At 62.2% G+C, this 19,970-nt stretch overlaps 2 protein-coding genes across 6 annotated transcripts, besides 5 other annotated features; one reads left to right on the top strand and one right to left on the bottom strand.

Moving 5' to 3' along the window:
* Nucleotides 1,558-4,362, bottom strand: B3GALT6 (beta-1,3-galactosyltransferase 6). The gene has a single exon (NM_080605.4). It carries the CDS (start codon nucleotides 4,318-4,320, stop codon nucleotides 3,331-3,333), a length of 990 nt encoding a protein of 329 aa, NP_542172.2. The 5' UTR covers nucleotides 4,321-4,362; the 3' UTR covers nucleotides 1,558-3,330.
* Nucleotides 1,995-2,496: an enhancer, noted in NCBI's record as "H3K4me1 hESC enhancer chr1:1169483-1169984 (GRCh37/hg19 assembly coordinates)". NCBI's record gives its function as "activates a minimal SCP1, AML or CMV promoter by ChIP-STARR-seq in primed H9 embryonic stem cells {active_cell/tissue: H9 hESC(primed)}" and the evidence as "EXISTENCE:reporter gene assay evidence [ECO:0000049][PMID:30033119]".
* Nucleotides 3,281-3,962: an enhancer, noted in NCBI's record as "H3K27ac-H3K4me1 hESC enhancer chr1:1168017-1168698 (GRCh37/hg19 assembly coordinates)". NCBI's record gives its function as "activates a minimal SCP1, AML or CMV promoter by ChIP-STARR-seq in naive H9 embryonic stem cells {active_cell/tissue: H9 hESC(naive)}" and the evidence as "EXISTENCE:reporter gene assay evidence [ECO:0000049][PMID:30033119]".
* Nucleotides 3,963-4,644: an enhancer, noted in NCBI's record as "H3K27ac-H3K4me1 hESC enhancer chr1:1167335-1168016 (GRCh37/hg19 assembly coordinates)". NCBI's record gives its function as "activates a minimal SCP1, AML or CMV promoter by ChIP-STARR-seq in naive H9 embryonic stem cells {active_cell/tissue: H9 hESC(naive)}" and the evidence as "EXISTENCE:reporter gene assay evidence [ECO:0000049][PMID:30033119]".
* Nucleotides 3,963-5,120: a biological region, named in NCBI's record as "H3K27ac-H3K4me1 hESC enhancer GRCh37_chr1:1167335-1168016".
* Nucleotides 4,261-5,120: a silencer, noted in NCBI's record as "silent region_48". NCBI's record gives its function as "represses an Ori minimal core promoter by ATAC-STARR-seq in GM12878 lymphoblastoid cells {active_cell/tissue: GM12878}" and the evidence as "EXISTENCE:reporter gene assay evidence [ECO:0000049][PMID:35858748]".
* On the top strand, nucleotides 4,598-19,668 carry SDF4 (stromal cell derived factor 4). Of its 5 annotated transcripts, none has more exons than NM_016176.6 (7): nucleotides 4,598-4,707; nucleotides 7,653-8,131; nucleotides 12,631-12,767; nucleotides 13,242-13,355; nucleotides 17,672-17,830; nucleotides 17,966-18,141; nucleotides 18,911-19,668. In NM_016176.6, exons 2-7 carry the CDS (start codon nucleotides 7,827-7,829, stop codon nucleotides 19,085-19,087), a joined length of 1,068 nt encoding a protein of 355 aa, NP_057260.3. In that variant the 5' UTR covers nucleotides 4,598-4,707; nucleotides 7,653-7,826; the 3' UTR covers nucleotides 19,088-19,668. The 5 variants fall into 5 exon arrangements, with proteins under 5 accessions (NP_057260.3, NP_057631.2, XP_047278067.1 ...); NM_016547.3 differs by having other exon boundaries at nucleotides 18,795-19,668; XM_047422111.1 differs by having other exon boundaries at nucleotides 4,598-5,092.

Here is a 19,970-nt window from a genome sequence, read left to right as displayed (position 1 = left end):
CGCTCTGGGTGCGGAGGGCCTGGCACGCACCTGTCTCTGGCCACCTGCTCCCGAGGACTCCCCAAGCCGTCTGGGCCGCTGGGGCTTCCATTCCTGCAACGTCAGCTGGTCTCACAGTGCCACAGCTGGGGAGCCTGGGGCCGGTGGGGCCACAGGAGGGCCGTGACCCCCTTAGACCTGAGGACTCTGAGCTGGGACAGTCAGCCAGGGAGAGGGTGGAAGAGTCTGGGGTGACCCAGGCCGCGGGGGCAGCCCTGCTGCAGGCTGGACTGATGGAGGCCTGCCGGGAACAGGGTGTGTGCTGAGCCCTGCGGGGAGGAGATCTGGGCCCAGTCAGTGCTGGGCGTCTGTGATGCCACAAGGTTGCAGGAGCCCCTGCCTGCGTCTGCACCGAAGAGCGCCGGGCACAGGGAACTGGGCTGGCATCCTGGGGCTGCTGGACGGGGCGTCTTCCCTCGCAGCCCTGGAGGCCACGCTCCTGACTCTGGGTAGAGCCCTTCCTTGCCTGGTGGGGTGGGGGTGGAGGGTCCTCAATCCTTGGCCTGCAGAGGCATCGCCTGGGTGTCAGTCTCTAGCCACACAGTGGCTTTTTCCCAGGTCTTTTCTGGTAAGGACACCAGTTCCGTGGGAGTAAGGCCACCTCAGGACCTTGCCTTAACGCAATTCCACCTGCAGAGACCCGACTTCCAGACAAGGTCAGTTTGTAGCTGCTGGGTTAGGGCTTGGAATATCTTTTAGGGGGCACAGTTCAGTCCCGTAACAGGAGCCTTGACAGCCAGGATCCCAGCCAGACACAGGTGGGCAGGTGGGAACCTGGAGGCCTCAGGGGCGGGGGTGCCTCCGGATGCAGGTAGCACTTTGCATCTTGGGGGTGACCAACCAGGCCACAGGCCCGGCGGGTACCCAGGGCTGGCCCAGAGAGCTGGAGCCAACGTCAGGTGCCTGCATGCCAGCCTCAGGGGGCAGAGAGGCAGGACCATAGTCCCCAGGAAGAGGGCAGAAGGGGGTGCTCTCCTCCTGGGGGATCCTGAAGGGACCAGAGCCCATCCTCTTGGCTTGACCTGCATTCCCTGCCGGCCCTGTGCCTCCTGGGGGCTGTGTGCGTGTGGCTGCGCCGTGCCCGTCCAGCCCTGACACTGTCCCCTCCATGGTAGGTTCTCGGGGCCACTAGAGGAGAAACATCCGTGTGGCTGAGGAAGAGTTGGCTGTTTTGTATCCCAAGTTCCCACATGGAAATGAATTCGGTGACCCCCCATCTCCCGAGGGCCTCCTGGTTTGGCCCTGGTCTCCGGGAACCGAGTACCTGGGTGGGTGGGGAGCTGTACAAGCTAAGACCAGGGAAGGACGCCTGGGGGACGGATGCCACGGCCCGTGCACGGTCGATTGGAGCCGCAGGGCAGGGAGGATCTACAGGGCAAGTTCCAGGTGAGACCAGAGAGAGCTGCAGCTGCCCCGGCTCTGGAAGCCCCCAGCCCTCCCGAGGCCCAGCCTTCAGCCCACGTATCCTCTGAACCCGTTCACCACGGTACGGCTGGGGAGGGTCAGCCTGGGGCAGGCTTTGTTCTGATATGAAATTTAATGTCTTAGGCTGAAAAACACTAAATTTCCATTTTTTTGTAGGTCAGAAGTGGTTGCAAACTGGATTTTTAGACTCTTCCTGTTGGGGGTCTCGGACATTTGCTCTTTTCCACAGCGGCCAATTCTTCAGAGCCACAAAGAACTGGGCGACGCAGGCCAGAGGTGTGGGAGTCCAGCCCTTGGTTCGAATCCCGCTCTCCACTGTCCATGGGGTTCTCAGCAAGCCCTCTGGCCTCTCCAAGCACACGCAGGGTTCCTCAAGCAATTCCAAACTCCAGAGAAGACATCCCAGGTAAAATCGGATGGCAGGGACCTGGGACACCGCTGTGACGGGCAGCCCCTGGGCTCGAGTCCACAACTCCCACGGGAGGGCAGGGCCCCATCCTGCTCACACCGGGGTCCCCAGCCCTCGATCCTCACGAGTCCTCGTCCAAGAACAAACTGTGCACACACGGGCGGTCAGTCCTGGATTCAAGGTGGCCCATCGGAGCTCGAACTCAACGGCCTGACCTAGGGACGCCTCCAGTCCCACCCCTACCTTTTGGAGGTGGGAGAATCACCGTGCAGGTCACTGACCCACTGACCACAGATCACCACTCTCTCCCGCCCCCGTTTCTTCCTCCTGAGACCACTGCTGCCTTCAAACGCAAGTAACCCAAACCTGCTCCCAAACCCATGGCAAGACTGACCCGGAGCCTAACCCAGCCCTGCCCCGAGCCTGACCCTGATGCTCGAGACTAGACCCCAGACTGGACCCGGTCCCAAAGTGGGACAACAAAGACCACAGCGGGGACCACCCAGGTCCCCCAGAGAGAAAACCCGCGTCGGACTCCAGGGAGCTCATGGTAACCCCTTGTCCTGGGGCAGCTTCATTTTACTTTGGCAAGGACCGCAGTGTTCGCTTTTCTCATTAAACGAGGGGCTTTCAAGGATGTGTTAAAGTACGTGAGAGACGGGCCTGGTGCCGGCTGGTCCTGTTTTCTTAAGGCGGAAGTTGGGGAACCGCGTCAGCACTCCGGGGTTCGGATTCCTGGAACCTGGGGCAGAGTCTGAAATAAAGCAGCACCGGCCCTGTGTGGCGCGGACCCATGGGAAGCCTTGAAAGGAAAGTCTCTTCAGAAAGAAACAATGGGTTCAGTGACTTGTACACTGAAAAGATAGATGGCCAGTTTTAAAGTTCTCCTGCGTTTAAACACGGGCAGCAGCGGGGTTGACGGTACAGGCACCAAGTTCTGACATAAAAGTCTTTCCTTAAATCATGTAAAAAAACCGAGACGTGCGCACTGCCAACTTACACTCATCGACACAAACTTACAATATTTATAAATAAGTCGCAAGCAAACACTGAGTTACATTTACCACGAAGTCACTGGACAGAGACCAAAATCCCATGAAAGCGGATTGATGTGAAACCACGTTAGATCTGAGACGCAGACGTGAGAAACGCCACTGATAAGAGACACGGAAGATCGGAGCCCAGCCCCGTGAGCCGGTCGGGGACAGCACGGGGGTCAGCGTGCGGCCGGGCCCGGCTCAGGCTCGCTGAGGTCCAGGAACGGGCACCTCCACCTGGACACGGCGCGCTGCCCCGGCAACCCCCAGGGGTCTCCCAAACGCAGACCGGGACGCAGCGACCACAAGCGTGGCTGCGGGACGGGGGCCTTGGGGCCCGGGCGTAGTGCGCCCGCTCGGCACCTGCCCCAAGGCGCCGCCGGGTGAAGCAGGTGTCCCGGAGGGCCGGGCCGCGGCGGCTCAGGGGATGCCCTCCCTTCTCTGGCAGCACTGCGAGGGCGGCGCGGACCAGTCGTACACGTAGGACAGGCGCAGCTGCACCTCGCGCTTGCACAGGCGGCCCTCGCGCGCCAGCGTCGCGTGCTTCTCCAGCATGTCCTCCAGGCTCTGCTTGTGCGTCACCAGGTACTGGTTGCTGCAGCCGCGGGACCGGTATTCGGTGTCGAAGCGCGGGTCGTGCTCCCGCTGGACGTCCACCGGCGCCAGCCAGGCGCCCAGAGACACGTCCTCGCTGTGCCAGGCGCGCAGGTAGTCGCGGCTGAGGCGCAGGTAGTGCACCAGGTCGGCCGAGAGCACGTAGCCGCCGCCCAGCGCGTAGGGCAGGTAGTAGTCGCAGAGTTGCCAGGCGGCCTCGCGCCAGCGCCCCCCCGGCTTGACGCGGCCGCGGCCCGAGAAGAAGCCCCAGTAGAGGCGGCGGCGGCGCGCGGGCTCGCGGGCGCGCAGCTCGGCCAGCAGCGCGTCCAGCCGCGCGAAGGAGTCGTCGTCCGCCTTGAGCACGAACTCGAAGGCCACGTGCTCGTCCAGCCAGGCCAGCATGGCCAGCACCTTGGCCGTGAGGTTTTCGTAGGCGTCGCGCAGCGCGGGCAGCAGCAGCAGGTCCCCGTGCCGCGCCTGCTCCCGCTCCAGGGCGCGCCGCTCCTCGGCGCCCAGGCCGGCCGTGCCCACGGCAAAGCGCGCCCACACGTCGCCCGGGGCCCCGCGCCGCGCAAGCCACGTGCTGCGGATCACGCTGCGGCGCTCGGCGGCGCGGGGCGCGCTGGCCACCAGCACTGCCAGGAAGGCGGCGGCGCGCGCGGGCGCGGGGGGAGGCGGGCTGCGGCCCGACATCGCCCTGGGGTCCCCGGGCTCGGCCGCGCAGCGCGCCAGGTAGAGCAGCGCCGCCCCGCACAGCGCCAGCGTGCCCAGGCCTAGCGCCGCCCGCCGCCGCCACGCCCGCCGCAGCAGCTTCATGGCGCCCGCGCCGGGCCGGCGGCCCAGGCCGGACTCGCGAGTGCGCAGGCGCCGCCGGCTCGGGGCGGTGCGCGTGCGCACGGCGCTCCTGGGAGCGCGCCGGGGCCTTCCGCAGACGCCGAGCCCCGGGGCGCTCGGAGGCCGGCGGCCAATCGGCGGCCGTCACGTGGCCTCGGGCACCCTTGTCATTGGTCAACCTCGGAGCGGCCCCGCGACCGCTTCCGCCCGGAGGAGAGATGGTGGCGCCGGCGTCCCCTCCGTGAGGTCGCGCCCGTTCGCACCGCCCCCGCCCGCAAGAAAGATGGCAGTGGCCTGATCCGGGCCCGTTGGCGGCGTCACTGACGCTTCGCTCCGGTCCTCGGATCCCGAGCGCGGGGAGGCAGACCGGTGAGTGAGGGGCCCGGGACGGCCGCTGCAGGCCGCGGGGCCAAGTGTACGCCGGCCGGACGGCGAGGGCGGGTCTGGAGGCCGCCGCCGCCTCCCGCCTTGGGCTGGGGCATCGTCCGTCCGCTCGGCCTTGAGCCCTGGCGAGACTCCGCCGCCACCGGGGCTCCCGGGGTTCCCGGGGGCAGGGACAGGCCGACGACGCTGGCCTCCCCGGCCGCCGGCACGTCTGGTCTCCTACTGGCCAAAACCTACGAATGCCACCGGGAAACGGAGGCCCAAGGGGTCTGGTTGGACTCGCGTTTATCGGCGAGGCGACCTTGGACAAGCTGCCCCGCTTCCCTGCGCCTGCGCTTCCGCTTCTGAACCGCGTGGACCCTCATCCCCAGTTAGTAGGATTTGGAGATGTGAAGTCGGCTGTGTGGAGCCCTTGATGTCTGGCTCAGAGGCGGTGTTATGAACCCTGTTGAGCTTTTAGAATCTAACCGTGTGTGTTGTTAACTGCCAGAAATAGCCTCGTTCCACCAGAGCTGAAGCCCAGGGATGGCAAAGAAATAGCGTCTCTGCCTAAGCTGTTTCCCACGTCCGTTTTGCAAGGGTGTGTTGATTCCTTGCTGGGAACTGAGCTGCTAGGGGATGGCGAAGTCGAAACCCCATTCCGGTGGGACCGGCCCGCTCCGCTGTGCTGCGAACCTGGCACACCGTGATGAATAGATACTCTGAAGCCAGGAGAGGAAGCGCCACTTGATGGACTCCTGATATTTATAGTTACTTTTGGGTTACTTTTTATTCCCCCTTTTTCGAGACAGGGTCTTATCTTTTTGTTTTTGTTTTTTAAAGAGACGCAGTCTCACTGTGTTGCCCAGGCTGGTCTCACGATCCTCCTGCCTCAAGTAAACCGTGTAACTCATCAAGATATGTAGAATCAAGAACTAGCTTTATTTTCTCTAGGAACAAAGTACAGTCTCTTTGCACACAGCGTGTGTTTTACGACTGTAGTTAGTGGAGTCAGCACCAGGAGGAGGTGTCTTGGTTCTTATCCAGGACTCTCCCCTGGTCAGGCGATCTGGGACGACAGGAATAGAATTATGCCACCACTAGGGAAGGGAAAAGCCCTCAGCCATGTTCAGAAAATCAGGCCGGGTGCATGGCTCACGCCTATAGTCCCAGCACTTTGGGAGGCCGAGGCAGGAGGATCACTTCAGGTCAGGAGTTAGAGACCAGCCTGGCCAACATGGCAAAACCCCATCTCTACTAAAAATACAGATTAGTGGAGAGTGGAGGTGGGTGCCTGTAATCCCAGCTAACTGGGAGGCCGAGGCAGGAGAATCACTTGAACCTGGGAGGTGGAGGTTGCAGTGAGCCGAGACTGCACCACTGCACTCCAGCCTGGGCGACAGAGTGAGACTCTGTCTCAGAAAAAAAAAAAAAATCAGACATGAGCCCCTCACCCAGGGTTTCCTTCCTTGGGGGAACTCAGGCTTGTACCCCTCTTGGTTTGTGGCAGACTGCACTGACTTCAGGACCACTTTCATGGCGGCCCCACTGGTGTTTCTCGATACCTGGAGGCAGCATTTTTTCGTTTAATATTACCCAGGGTAGCATTCGTTGAGCGCCTACTGTGTGCAGGCAGAGTGGCAGGTGCCAGAACAGTGAAGCTGAATAAGACGGCCACAGAACAGGAGTCTCAGTCCATGTGTGTTGAGGGAACAGCTGTGACATGGCGGGGCCTCAGCGGCACCCGAAAGGACCCGCAGGTGTTTGCCGGAGGGGCAGACTGTGAAAGGAGTAGGCTCGTGGGTGAGAAGGACCCCGAGTTCCCTTTGGGATACATGAGGCATGAGGCCCTGTGAGCCCCTGCTTCCCACCAGGACTGGCCACGCCTCGGACGGCAGGACAGACTTCTGGGCTCCTCGGCCTTGGCGTTCGCTCGCGAGTGTGGGCAAGGGCACATGTGTGTAATACGTGCATGCGTGAGTGTGGATGTGTGTGTGCACATCTGTGTGTGGGGGTTGTGTGTTTGTTTGCTGGGACCAGGCCCTGACGCCCTCTGCACTTAGGGTTGGCTGTCTTCGCAAAGCCTGGTCAGTCGGGGGGAGAGGGGGAGCCTCCTGTTTCTTAGTGAGAAGCTGAGGCCGGGGAGGCCACATGACTTAGCTAAGGTCATAGATCTCAAGAATGTTCAAGTCAGGGTCTGGAGAGTGACCCTAACCCCATGGGTCAGTGGCATGATGCCAGGAGGGACAGAGCCGGGCCCCACAGGAAAGCTGTGCTGCAGGTGTTGGGCGATGGGGACAGGTTAGCCCCTGGAGGTGCTGACAGCTCGAGAGAGAGATGGAAAGACGGAGAGACAGGGCTGAAAACTCAGTGTCTGTAAAAAAAAGACCGGGCACAGTGGCTCACGCCTGTAATCCCAGCACGTTGGGAGACTGAGGCAAGAGGATCGCTTGAAGCCAGGAGTTTGAGACCAGCCTGAGCAATACAGCGAGACCCGTCTCTACAAAGAGTAAAATAAAAATAAATTACTGGGCGTGGGGGTGCACGCCTGTGGTCGCAGCTGCTCCGGTGGCTGAGGCGAGAGCATCACCTGAGCCCAGAGCATCACCTGAGCCCAGGAGTTCGTGGTCACGGTGAGCTGTGGTCACCGCTGTACTCCAGCCTGGGTGACAGAGCAAGACCCTGTTTCTAAAAATAAAGAAAAAAACACCACGTGTGGTCCGGAGAAAACAAATGCCACGTGTGGTCCAGAGAAAACAAATGCCACGTGTGGCCCGGAGAAAACAATGCCACGTGTGGTCTGGAGAAGGCAGTGCCACGTGTGGTCTGGAGAAGGCGATGCCACATGTCTGGATCCTGTGAATCGAGGATATGTTTCATGTTGCAGGATAGACGTGCTTGGGGAAGTCTTTGCTGAGTCTTGCTAATGATGTGTCTGTGTCTCTCTGCAGACTGTGAGCTGCTTGTCCCCATCCTGCGGCCGTCCTGGGGACACAGAGCCCTCCGTGGTGCCCGGGGATTGGATTGGAGCCAGGACCTCACTTCCTCCTCTGCCCCTGCCCCTGCCCCTCCCAGCACCTGGCCCACACCCTGCAGCCCGCCCCATGGTCTGGCCCTGGGTGGCGATGGCGTCCAGGTGGGGTCCCCTCATTGGCCTGGCTCCGTGCTGCCTCTGGCTCCTGGGGGCAGTCCTTCTGATGGACGCGTCTGCACGGCCTGCCAACCACTCGTCCACTCGAGAGAGAGTAGCCAACAGGGAGGAGAATGAGATCCTGCCCCCAGACCACCTGAACGGGGTGAAGCTGGAGATGGACGGGCACCTCAATCGCGGCTTCCACCAGGAGGTCTTCCTAGGCAAGGACCTGGGTGGCTTTGATGAGGACGCGGAGCCGCGGCGGAGCCGGAGGAAGCTGATGGTCATCTTTTCCAAGTAGGTGCCGCCATGTGCCCAGACTGGGGGGCTGTCCGCGTGCGCTCGCCTGTGTGTTCCTATCCTGGCTTTGCGCGGTGGGGGGCGCCGGGCCCTGTGTCGGGACCTGCCGGGCTGGGAAGACGTGCCGGTGATGAGCGCCACTTCCAGCCTGCTGTGTTTGCGCGGAGGCCTGCGCTGGCAGCCCAGAGCCGCTCCTTGAATGCCCTGGGTCCGCCGGGGGCTCAGAGGGCCAGAGTGGGCCTGTGTGGCCGTCCCTAGGACAGCCTGGAGGAGCCCACGCGGCACTGCAGTGGTCAGCGTCCTCCATGCTGAGGGGCAGACGCCGGCCACGGGCAGCCTCCGCAGGCTGCAGCCCCAGTTGGACGAGGCCTGGCTGAGGAGTGAGGGGCTGCCACAGGTGGCTGGAGAGCTGGTACAGGGTGCTCTGGGCTCCTCCTGACACGCCCTCTACCCTGTGTGTTTGGGGTCCCTGTCACACACGGGCCGCGTATCACACGCAGGCTGGGGGTGTGTGGGGTTGGCTTGTTTTGCTGGCCTGGTCGGGAGCAGAGCTGTGCTGTCAGTGGCCCATCCTTGGCCGTCACTGCCCCCACCCTGCTGAGTCCCGAGACCCTCTTGCTGCCTCTGTGCCTAGTGCCGAGCTTTCTCCCCCGACCCCATCCCTGAGTCTCGAGAGCCTGTTGTGAGGGGTCCAAGATGGGTCAACCTGACCACTCACCCACAAGGAGCCAGGTCCTGCACGGGCGCCTTACTCCTTACGGCACGGCCGGGGTGCCCTGCGGTGTGGCCCTGGAACCTACTTGCACTCAGCGCTGGCCTCACCCCTGGAGGCAGAGCAGGGTCAGGGCGTGCCCGTGAGTCCCCCAGGCCAGCCAGGGTGCCGGGCAGGGAGCCGAGGTGCAGGTGAGAGAACACCCTGGGCCTCCTGGGACCTGCGAGACCTGGGCACAAGGAGGCAGCCCCCGCCGCAGGGCCTGGCCACGAGCTCACCTTCCCGCAGGGCCTGGCCACGAGCTCGCCTTCCCGCAGGGCCTGGCCACGAGCTCGCCTTCCCGCCGGGCCTGGCCACGAGCTCGCCTTCCCGCCGGGCCTGGCCACGAGCTCGCCTTCCCGCCGGGCCTGGCCACGAGCTCGCCTTCCCGCAGGGCCTGGCCACGAGCTCGCCTTCCCGCCGGGCCTGGTGCTCCAGGACCAGTGCAGAGGGGCAGGTGGCAAAGCTGGTGAGCAAGGGGATTGGGCAGGGCTGGGGTCCTGGGGTGCAGGAGCAGGTAGGAAAGGTGTGAGGACTGGTCTGGCTGTGCCACGGCCCTTGGGCTGAGGGCCAGGCGGGAGGGCCCTGAGGATCCAGGCTTTCGGGCGGAGCACAGGTGAGCTGGTGGGACGGAGGCACGGTGCCAGCTGGAGGACCTGGGCACCAGGTGTGGTGTCCCCTTGCACCTCTCCTCAGATGGTACGGTTCGGGGGTCCTTGCGTGGCCTGAGTTCACTTGGTGGTGAGCTGACCAACCCACGAAGAGGCTGCTGGTGCCCCTGGGGCCTGTCAGGTTCACCACCCCTGAGCTCACGAAGGCCTGGCTCGCGGCATCACAGGGGAAGGGTCCCCGTCCCTGCTCAGCCGGTGCTGGGGGTGGGCTGCACGCCTGGGCGAGGGGAGTTGAGGCTTCTGCTCGGTGCGTCTCCAGCTGGACCGGGGTTTCTTTTTGGTGCCTGTAACGAAACCCCAAGCTGTCTCGTTTGAGGAGGTGGGCATGGGGAGTGGGAAGTAACAGCAGGTCTCCGGGTCTCCCTGACTCCTGCGCCGAGCGGCGACAGCGGCCGCTGTGGGTGTTTAGACTTCCCTTCCCACACGCGGGTCCCTTCTCGCCCTTCTCCTGCGTAGGGCCCCGTCCCTCCAGGACCCACGTTCACTCAGCTGTCCTGTCTCCTCTGTCTCCTCTGGGCTGGAACGGTGTCTCAGACTCTCCCGTTTTTGTGAGGACGTAACAGTTCTGAGAAGGGCTGGGTAGGAGGTTTTAGGCTGTCCCTCAGTTTGGGCTTGTGGGATGTGTTTTCTCCTGACCGTACAGGGTTGAGGGTTTCTGGAAAGAGCCCCCAGAGGGGAGGTGCCATGTTTCCTCCTGACCGTACAGGGTTGAGGGTTTCTGGAAAGAGCATCCAGAGGGGAGGTGCCCTGTCCTAGGGGCTTTTGAGCTTCACTTCCTTCCCGCTTCCCTGCACCACGAGATGCTCCAGGCTTTCCTTCCCGCTTCCTGGCACGGTGAGATGCTCTGGGCTCGCCTCCGTGCCACCTGCCCCAGTGCAATAGCTGCCGCCTTTCCAGGAAGCCCTGTCTCCCGTGGCTGGAGCTGGAAGCCAGGGTCTGGGCACTGGGCGTCTTGCCCTTGTTCTCTCAGGAGCCAGAACTTGATAACATGCGTGTGTGCACCAGCCCAGTCACATCTGTGTTCTGCCAGCCCTGTTCACGTGTGTGTGCTGTGTACACGTGGGTACCGGCCTGTGCACTTGCGTGTGTGCGTGCCAGCTCCATGTACGTGCACCGCCCTGCAGCCGTGTCTTCAGGCACCTGAGTTTGGATGAGTGACTCCTTGCCGACATCTTGACTGGAATCCTGCGCCATGTGGTTTCTTTCCACCTTTTTGCTTTTTGCTCTGCCTCGTGTGTGTCTGTGTCTGTGGAGTGTGTAGAGCGTGTGGAGTGTGTGGCCCGTGTCTGTGGCATGTGGAGTGTGTGGCCCGTGTCTGTGGCGTGTGGAGCGTGTGGCCTGTGTCTGTGGCGCGTGTGGAGCGTGACCGGAGCATTCGAGGATGCACGTGTCCACGTGAGACCCACCAGGTGCCCCACCTGCCACATGGCCACCCGGGTGGCCCCGTCCCCAGCCGGTGTGTTTTGGGGACTGTGGAGCTGAGGGTGCCTCCCAGGCCCGTCCACCTCTGGGCTGCTGCGGCTGCTGAGGGAGGGGCGCGTGTGAGCGGCAGCCTGGCCTTCTTCCATGAGGATCTCTGCCCAGTGCTTCTGAGCCGTGCCTGCGGTGTGTGCACCCTCGAAGCTTGCCTGGCCCAGGTCCCAGAGGCCACACCTGCCTGACGAGGGCCTGCTTGCCACCTCATAACGTGGCCGCGGCTGCCCCTGAGCGGAGCATAGAGGCAAGGGGCCAGGGCACCCTACTCTCGGGGATGCCTCCGGCAAACGCACCAGCCGGGGTCTCAAGACCTCGCACCTCTGGAAGCCCTGCCTCCCAGTGCTGTTGCCCTGGGGGTTAAGTTTCCAACAGGTGAGCTCAGGACACGGGCGGCTGCAGCAGGGGTAGGAGCCTGTGGCTTCCACAAAGACATAATGGTGAAGCCGAGCTCTGAAGCTGGGACGGGAGTGACCTGTCCTGGGGCCTGTGGCCTCCTGACCTGGCCTGCGCTGGCCCCGTGTCCCCAGTCTGTGTCCCTATCCCCCAAGTCTGTGGTCTCTTCCATCCTTGCACACAATGTTAAGTCCCCACACGGTCTTCTTCCTAAATCTCACAACTTAAATTTATATGAAGGATTTTGTTTTGTCTTGTTTTGAGTCAGGGTCTCGGTATGCCGCCCAGGCTGGAGTGCAGTGGTGTGATCACAGTTCACTGCAACCTTCGCATTCCAGGTTCGGGAGGCCTCCCACCTCAGCCTCTTGAGTAGCTGAAACCACAGGTGCACGCCACCGCGCCTGGCGAATTTTCGTAATTGTTTTTGTAGAGGTGGGGTCTCCCTATGTTGCCCAAGCTGGTCTTGAACTTCTGGGCTTAAGTGATCCACCTGTCTTAGCCTCCCAAAGGGCTGGGATTATAGGTGTGGCCACTGCGTCCTGCCTATATGAAGGTTTTTGTGTAGCCATACCTGAAGCATCGAAAATAAAACATGGGCCGGGCCCAGTGGCCACACCTGTAATCCTAGCACGTTGGGAGGCTGAGGTGGGTGGATCATTTGAGGTCAGGAGTTTGAGACTAGCCTGCCCAACATGGTGAAACCGTATTTCTGTTAAAAATACAAAAATTAGCCAGGCGTGGTGGTGCACCCCTGTAATCCCAGCTACTCGGGAGGCTGAGGCAGTAGAATCGCTTGAACCCGGGAGGCGGAGGTTGCAGTGAGCAAAGATTGCGCCACCACACTCCAGCCTGGGTGACAGAGTGAGACTCCATCTCAAAAAATAAAATAAAACGTGAAGAGTGTGACTTTTGGAAGCTGTGGTTGGAGAGTGGGGTCTGGTGGTGATTCTGTGTGACAGAGGGGGAGGGTCCATGTGTTTCCCCGGGGAGGGGACCGTGGCATCCACCTTCCCCAGTGTCTCTGGCGTGGCCCGGCACCCCACAAGCCCCACGTCCCGGACGCTTTTCGCGTTGCCTGGTGGAGCCTGTCGCTGTTGGTGGCAGGTTCACGCAGCCATGGAGTCCTGGGCCGGCGGCATCCGTCTGGCTGTTCGGGGTCCTGGGGGCCCAGTCTGACGGCCACCTGCCCATTTGCTGTCTTGCAGGGTGGATGTGAACACTGACCGGAAGATCAGTGCCAAGGAGATGCAGCGCTGGATCATGGAGAAGACGGCCGAGCACTTCCAGGAGGCCATGGAGGAGAGCAAGACACACTTCCGCGCCGTGGACCCTGACGGGGACGGTACTGTGGCTGGGCCGGGGTGGGTGGGGCGGTGGGCGGGGCGGGCAGGGCCATGGGCCTTGCCTGGTGCCTGGAGGGCAGACAGGCCCTGTCTGAGGGACGGGCGGTGGGGAAGTGTCAGCCGGAGACCCCGAGGTGTGGTGGGGTGCACGGAAGCTGGGTTCATGATGCCAGAATCCTGGTGACAGAGGTGTGTGTGCCAAGCACTGGGCGTGGCCCATGGAGGGCGCCTCTTATGTCTTCGGGGCCTTCATCTGGTGGTGTCTATGCCTCTTGGTGGCCCCGAGGCACAGACGTTGCCGGCTGGCCTCACAGGTGAGGAAACGGGTGTGGGGTGCTGGCCGGGGCCCTGGGGCTCCAGACGCTGGCATCCTGCCGCTTCCAGCCTGGGCAGCAGAGCAAGACCCCATCTCAGTTGAGAAGGAAGTTCAGCTCAGTATCAGAGGCCCTGACAGGTGTGATCTGCTCTTCCAGGTCACGTGTCTTGGGACGAGTATAAGGTGAAGTTTTTGGCGAGTAAAGGCCATAGCGAGAAGGAGGTTGCCGACGCCATCAGGCTCAACGAGGAACTCAAAGTGGATGAGGAAAGTGAGTGCTCAGCCAGGCTCCCGCCACCGGTCTCAGGCATCCTGTGTGTGCGCGCGTGTGTTGTGTGTACATGAGTGTGCCGTGTGTGTCGTGTATGAGTGTGCCGTGCGTGTGCTCGTGAGTACGTGTGTGCGTGCCGTGTGTACGAGTGTGCTGTGCGCGTGCTCGTGAGTACGTGTGTGCATGTTGTGTGTACGTGTGCTGTGTGTGTGCTCGTGAGTACATGTGTATGCGTGTCGTGTGTACGAGTGCACTGTGCATGTGCTTGTACGTGTGTGCGTGTCGTGTGTACGAGTGCGCTGTGCGTGTGCTTGTGAGTACATCCAGGTAGCTGTTCATGTAGGCTCGTGAGTACATGCAGGTGAGTGCGCCCTCACACCCGCTGTGTGCACACGTGTTCGTCTTAACAGCATGGCCCAACCTGGTTGGTGGTGGCTGTCAGGAGGGAAGTGGGTGAAGCCGTTGCTGACCTAGGCGCCGCCCAGGAGTCCGGTGGGGAGCGTGTGAGCTGTGCCTGGGCAGCTTTCAGCTCTGCTGGTCACGGCACCTTCACGGCCGTTACTCAGTTAGGTCCTGCAGAGAATCTGAGGCTGTGAGTCTGGGTTGGGGCCTGCCCCGTACTCTGAAGGCCACGTGAGGCAGAGTTTCCTGGGGAGAGGGCACAGCCTGTGCCTGAGGGCCTGGCCCTGAGGCCTGGGTCTGCTGGAGACATCTGTGTGGCCGTCAGGTGGTCACCAGAGAGCGGTCAGGTCCCAGGGAGAGGCTCTTCCTTGGGTCTGGGGTGTGGCCGTTGGCCAGCAGGGCAGCCTCAGCCCTGGGCGGGTCCAAGCTGGTGCCTCTGCGTGAAGAGGGTGGGGCCGGGTGGGGCCCGGCACCCGGGCTAAGGCCAGGTGAGGGGAGAGCCGGGCCACCCTGCACGGGGCCAGGTCTGGGAGAGCCGTCCAGGCAGAAGCCCCTGCTGGCCCAGTTGTGAGGCACAGCTGAGCGGGTACCGTGGCGTTGCTGCCACCCTGGGGCTCCGTGTGCCCTTCCCGGTCATGCCCGTGGTCTGGTTTGGGGCTTTGAGGAGAACGTGCAGAGTCGCCTGCTCCGTCGCTGCCCGGCATCCTGGGGTGGGTTCTCTGCTGCCCTGCAGGGCGCCCGTGTCGCCCACGGGACTGGTCACGTGATACGGGGCTGCTCCTGGCAGGCTGGGTGTATCTTACACCTTTATTTTTTGTGCCTGCTTAACTTATCAGTAACACACATTTCCTCACCAGAGTCTCAAGGCAAACCACCTCTTCTTTCTTTTTTCATGAGACGGTCTCACTCTGCTACCCAGCCTGCAGTGCAGTGGTGCAGTCTCGGCTCCCTGCAGCTGTACCTTCCAGGGCTCAGGCGATCCTCCTACCTCAGAAGCTGGGACCACAGGCACCATCACCGCGCCTGGCTAATTTTTGTATTTTTTGTACGGATAGATTCTGCCGTGTTGGCCGGGTTGGTCTCAAACTCTTGGACTTAAGTCATCCGCCTACTGCAGTCTCCCAAAGTGCTGGGATTATAGGCGTGAGCCACTGCGCCTAGTCTTAGCCTCTTTCTTTTTTTAATTTTTAATTTTTAATTGTTTAAGAGTGAGGGCCTCACTGTTGCCCAGGCTGGAGTGCAGTGGTGCGATCTCAGCTCACCTGTAGCCTCCACATCCTGGGCTCAATCTATCCTCCTTGGAGGACAGAAAAATAAAGGTGTAAGATACGTTCCTGCCAGGAACGGCCCATATCATGTGACCAGCCCCCATGGGGGCGGCCTCCTGAGTGACTGGGACCACCAGTGTGTGCCACCATGCCCAGCTGATTCAAAAACATATATTTTGTAGACACAAGGTCTCCCCATGTTGCCTAGGTAGGTCTCAAACTCTTGGATTTCAGAGGGTTCAAGTGACCCGCTCGGCCTCCCCCCGTCCTGGGGTTGCAGGCGCGAGTGACCCGCCTGCCTTGGCCTCTCCCCATCCTGGGGTTGCAGGCATGAGCCCCTGTGCCTGGCCTTGACCTTCTAGAATGACGCGGAGACTTTTGAGCCTGTTGGCTCTGCCTGCTCTTTTCCCAGTTCACGTACTCTTATCTGGAGTTTGGTCCTGTCCGTTCTAAATCCTGCAAATTGGACATTAAAAAAACTAAAAGTAAGAGGATCTCCCTGTGTTGCCCAGGCTGGTCTCAAAGTCCTGGGCTAAAGGGATCTGCCTGCCGCAGCCTCCCAGCATGCCGGGATTACAGGCACAAGCCCCAGTGCCCGGCCAAATTGGACGTTATTACTTCCTTTCCAAAAGAGTGGTTTACATTTTCCTCCCCACACACGGTTCGTGCCTCCACCCCGGTCCCGCGTTCCCTGCTGTCCTGACTGCGTCTTTAAGCTTCATCCCGTTGGTCCGGCCTGTTGGCGATGTGCTTGGGGCAGGAGGCCTTGCCCGTGCCCGCCCCCCAACTCTGATTGTGTCTGTCTTTCCTTGGTGCCACTTTATTTGGGTCTTTTCTGCCCAGGACATGGCCCACCTGGACCTAGAGCTCTGTGACATTTCTGTGAAGCCTCCGTCTACCTTTGGGACTCAGCAGAGGTGTGTTTAGAATTCACTCTGCGTTTTGGGGGTCCCCATGCATGCTGAGGTGCTGTTCCCTGCCCACCCGTGTCCGATCCGTCTTGGCCTCCCCGACCTCAGGGTGCCTAGGACCCCCCGACCTCTTTGGGTATTTGGTTTCTGGCTCAGGAAGAGCAGCTGCCGGGTCCTGGAGGAGGGGCCTGGGAAGCGCTGGCAGGCGTCACTCCTGCGACCTCCCACCCCTCCCTGCATGGCTCCTGCGAGGGTCACCGCGTGAGTCCGGGGGCTGCTGTCCTCGCGCCTCAGACCTGATTCTGGGGACCGCGGTGAAGGCGTGGCAGGCGGGCATCACTCCCTTCCCCCGCCTCCATCGCTGCCTCTCTCTGGGTCTGCGTCCTCTTCTCACAGGGACAGCAGTCGTTGACTCTCCCTGATCCAGGAGGGTCTCTCCAGATCCTTCCCTAACAGCAGAGGCCCGGCTCGTGGGGAGGGACTGGGACTCAAGGCTTCTTCACCAGCCTGAGGTTGGTGCTGGGGCTCGGCGGCGGCTGTGAGAATCCTGTGCTGGAGAAAGCGTCTCTCGGCCGGCCTGTCTGGGGCGTCTGTGCCTCTCCTGGATGGGTCTCAGTTTGGCCCCGTCCATCCATCCCAGGAGCTGCGGTGGAGCAGACAGGGAGGGGTGCCCCAGGAACCACAGCCCCGTCACTCCTGTCTTCCTTTAAGTGAACCGGTCGTGTAGATGGAGGTTGTTCAGAAAGGGATAAGATGGGACGGCAGCTGGGCCTCATCCCGCAGTGAGCGCGACGCAGAGGCTGCCGGGCTTGTGGCAGGGGCTTCGGCCAGGGCAGAGTCGGGCCTCACGTGCAGGGGGCTGAGTGTGGGCCTCAACACTGGACTTGGCCACTGACTGCAGTGAGCCCCAAGATGGGGCAGGAGGTGGTGTTTCTGTCCTGGAGACCCAGGGTGGCTTGGGTCCTTGGGATGTGTGGGGACCTCGGGGTGAGGGCCCGTTGGGGCCGGGTGGGCACGGCAGGAGAGCGGGGGCCACACACCCAGAGGCAGTGCCGTGTCCCGGCTGGGAGGGTTCCTGGGAAGCTCTGCTCAGCCCCAGTCTCAGTCATTTCTAGAAACTGTGTTTTCCTCCCTGTGACGTCACACGTGAAGGAAACGGAAAAGGGCAGTGAGTCCTTCGCCCCGCGGCGCCGTGCGCACGTCAGCCTTCAGGGTGATTCCGCTCCTCCAGAGGGGCAGGCGCGGGTGTGGGGGGTGGGGCCCAGGCCCATCCTGAGGGGTCCCAGGCATGAGGGGCTCTGAGCTGTGTCCTGGGGTGGTCTGGGCCATGGGGAGGTTCTGGATCATGTCTTGAGAGGTCTGGGCTGTGTGGGGGGTCCAGGCCATGTCCTGGGGGTCTGGGCTGTGTCTGTGGGGAGTCAGGGCCATCCATGTATTGGGGGTCTGGGGCAGGGGGGGGTCCAGGCTGTCTTGGGGAGTCCGGGCTGTGTGGAGGGGTCCAAGCTATGCCTTTGGGGATCAGGCCTGTGGGAGGCTCTGGGTTATGTCTTGGCGGGGGTCCAGGCTGTGTCTTAGGGGCTGGGCCATGTTCTGGGGACGTGTGAATCCTGGAGGGTGGGGCCCCGGTCTCGCGGGTGGCTGTGTCCCTCGAGTTCAGGCAGCACCTCTCGGAACTTTCTGGATTTGCGTGCTGGCGTCTGTCGGCCTCGATACCCACAGGCTGCGCCCCTCTCAGCACAGGAAGTCCTGGAGAACCTGAAGGACCGCTGGTACCAGGCGGACAGCCCCCCTGCAGACCTGCTGCTGACGGAGGAGGAGTTCCTGTCGTTCCTCCACCCCGAGCACAGCCGGGGAATGCTCAGGTTCATGGTGAAGGAGATCGTCCGGGACCTGGGTGAGGCTGGGTCCAGCCTGGCCGGCACGCCAGGACCCAGGACCGACTGGCAGGGGCCGGGCATCGTCGGGAGGTCGGGGCAGGTCCTGCGGGAGCCCCAGCCTGGGTGTGGGCTGACCCATTCCCGTCTCGCAGACCAGGACGGTGACAAGCAGCTCTCTGTGCCCGAGTTCATCTCCCTGCCCGTGGGCACCGTGGAGAACCAGCAGGGCCAGGACATTGACGACAACTGGGTGAAAGACAGAAAAAAGGAGTTTGAGGAGCTCATTGACTCCAACCACGACGGCATCGTGACCGCCGAGGAGCTGGAGGTGAGCCCTGGCGCAGCCGTGTCCCGGAGCCGGCCCTGCGAGGTGCTGTGGCGGGAGGGGCTGGTGGATCTGGGCCTGAGGCAGGAAGCTGTGCTGGTGTCTGGCCTGAGACTCCATCTGGGCTGGTCACTGGGGCGTTTGCTCAGCGGTGTCCACCAGGCTGCATGGCCGTTGTTGGCGTTTAGGTTCAGACGGATCAGAGACAGGCGAGCCTGGCCGGGCTCCATCCTCAGCCCCTTGCGGAGGCGTCAGGGTTCTCACAGCCCCTTTTTAACGGGACCACAAGGGGAAGCTCATGCTGGGCCCAGCATGGAGGCAGGTCCAAGGCCCAGCAGGTGCAGGTGGGCGGGGCGGCCTGTGCCACATGGCTGGAATTTACCACCTTCCTCTGAAGCGTTTTCACTGGTATCATGTGTAGGCTTGTTTTTCTCCCACTGCTGAGTGAGTCATCTTGTTTTTATGTAGAATCCTGTGATTCCTGGCGACAGCCAGTGGGCCCGGCCCAGGTTAGGGATCCTTCAGAACTGGGGTCCAGGCCTGTGTAGCCCCTGTGCCCCGTTACCCCTGCTGGCCCCGGGCAGGCCTTCCGGGGCCCCCGGCTTCTCCCTGCCCTGTGTTTTCATTTGTGCCGCCTCCCTTCGGGAACCTTCCAGAACGTGCCCACACTCCCGCTGCAGCCAATAGGCACCTTAAATAGCCACTTCGTGCGGCTGGCCGCGGAGCTCGGAGGGGGAAAGGCGACGCTGACCTGTGCCCCGCTCGCCCGCAGAGCTACATGGACCCCATGAACGAGTACAACGCGCTGAACGAGGCCAAGCAGATGATCGCCGTCGCCGACGAGAACCAGAACCACCACCTGGAGCCCGAGGAGGTGCTCAAGTACAGCGAGTTCTTCACGGGCAGCAAGCTGGTGGACTACGCGCGCAGCGTGCACGAGGAGTTTTGAGCGCCCGGCCGCGCCCCGCGCCGCCCCCCACGCACCACCGGGGCGGCCTCGCGGGTGACTCCGGGCTCCGTGGCTGTCCCGGACCCCACCTCTTCCCTGCCGCCCGCCACCGGCCGACCGACCGCGGCTGCCCCAGTTGATGAGCGGCGTGTCCCCTCTGCAGCGCGCACCCCGGCGGGGCTTTGGCTGTGACGCGGTCGGGGCGCGGGGCTGGGCTGTGGCCCCGCGGCGCCGCCTCCTCCCTGGTCCCTCGAAATCGTGGCATCTCACTTCTGAGAACGAAATCTCGCTTCAGTCACTCTGCCGAAGGCGCTGACGGCATCGCGGCCGGAACCTCTGGGCCCGGCCCCTCCCAGGGCCGCCGCTCCGTGGGAAAAAACAGCTCCTCCATTTCCTTGAAAACTGAACGATTATTAAAAATAGATTAAACTTCGCTGGAAATGAGTAGCCAGGAAGTTCAGGGGAGGGTGCCGGGTCCTTCCCGGGCCTGGCGTGTCGGAGCCACCCAGGTCCCGCAGCTGCCGCTGAGAAAATGCAAATATTTGTTGTGACAAGAATCACATACATTTACTTTAAATATAGTTGCCTTTTTTGGTCAGCTTCATTCTTTGGGCGTGAAACAAAACACAACAGCAGCGTGCTAGGTTTGTGGTTACAGTTTCCACTGGAGCGCTGGAGGCTGGTGCTGGGTCACGTGGAGGGTTGGAGGTCATGGCCGGTTCGAGGTGATTCTCCTGGCAGGTGGCAACGGGCAGGGGCTCTGGGAGGACGGAGGGCAGCGCTGCGTTTGTGAGTAGGGGTCAGGGGGCAGCAGACGTGCCCACTGAGTTTGGGGTTTGGACATTTAAGGCAGGAGACAGAGCCGCCTGGGGGTTTTGGGTGG

Source organism: Homo sapiens, chromosome 1, assembly GCF_000001405.40.
Source record: "Homo sapiens chromosome 1, GRCh38.p14 Primary Assembly".
NCBI classification, from domain to species: domain Eukaryota; kingdom Metazoa; phylum Chordata; class Mammalia; order Primates; family Hominidae; genus Homo; species Homo sapiens.
Note: the sequence above shows the minus strand (reverse complement) of the source record. Positions and strands in the feature narration are given on the sequence as shown.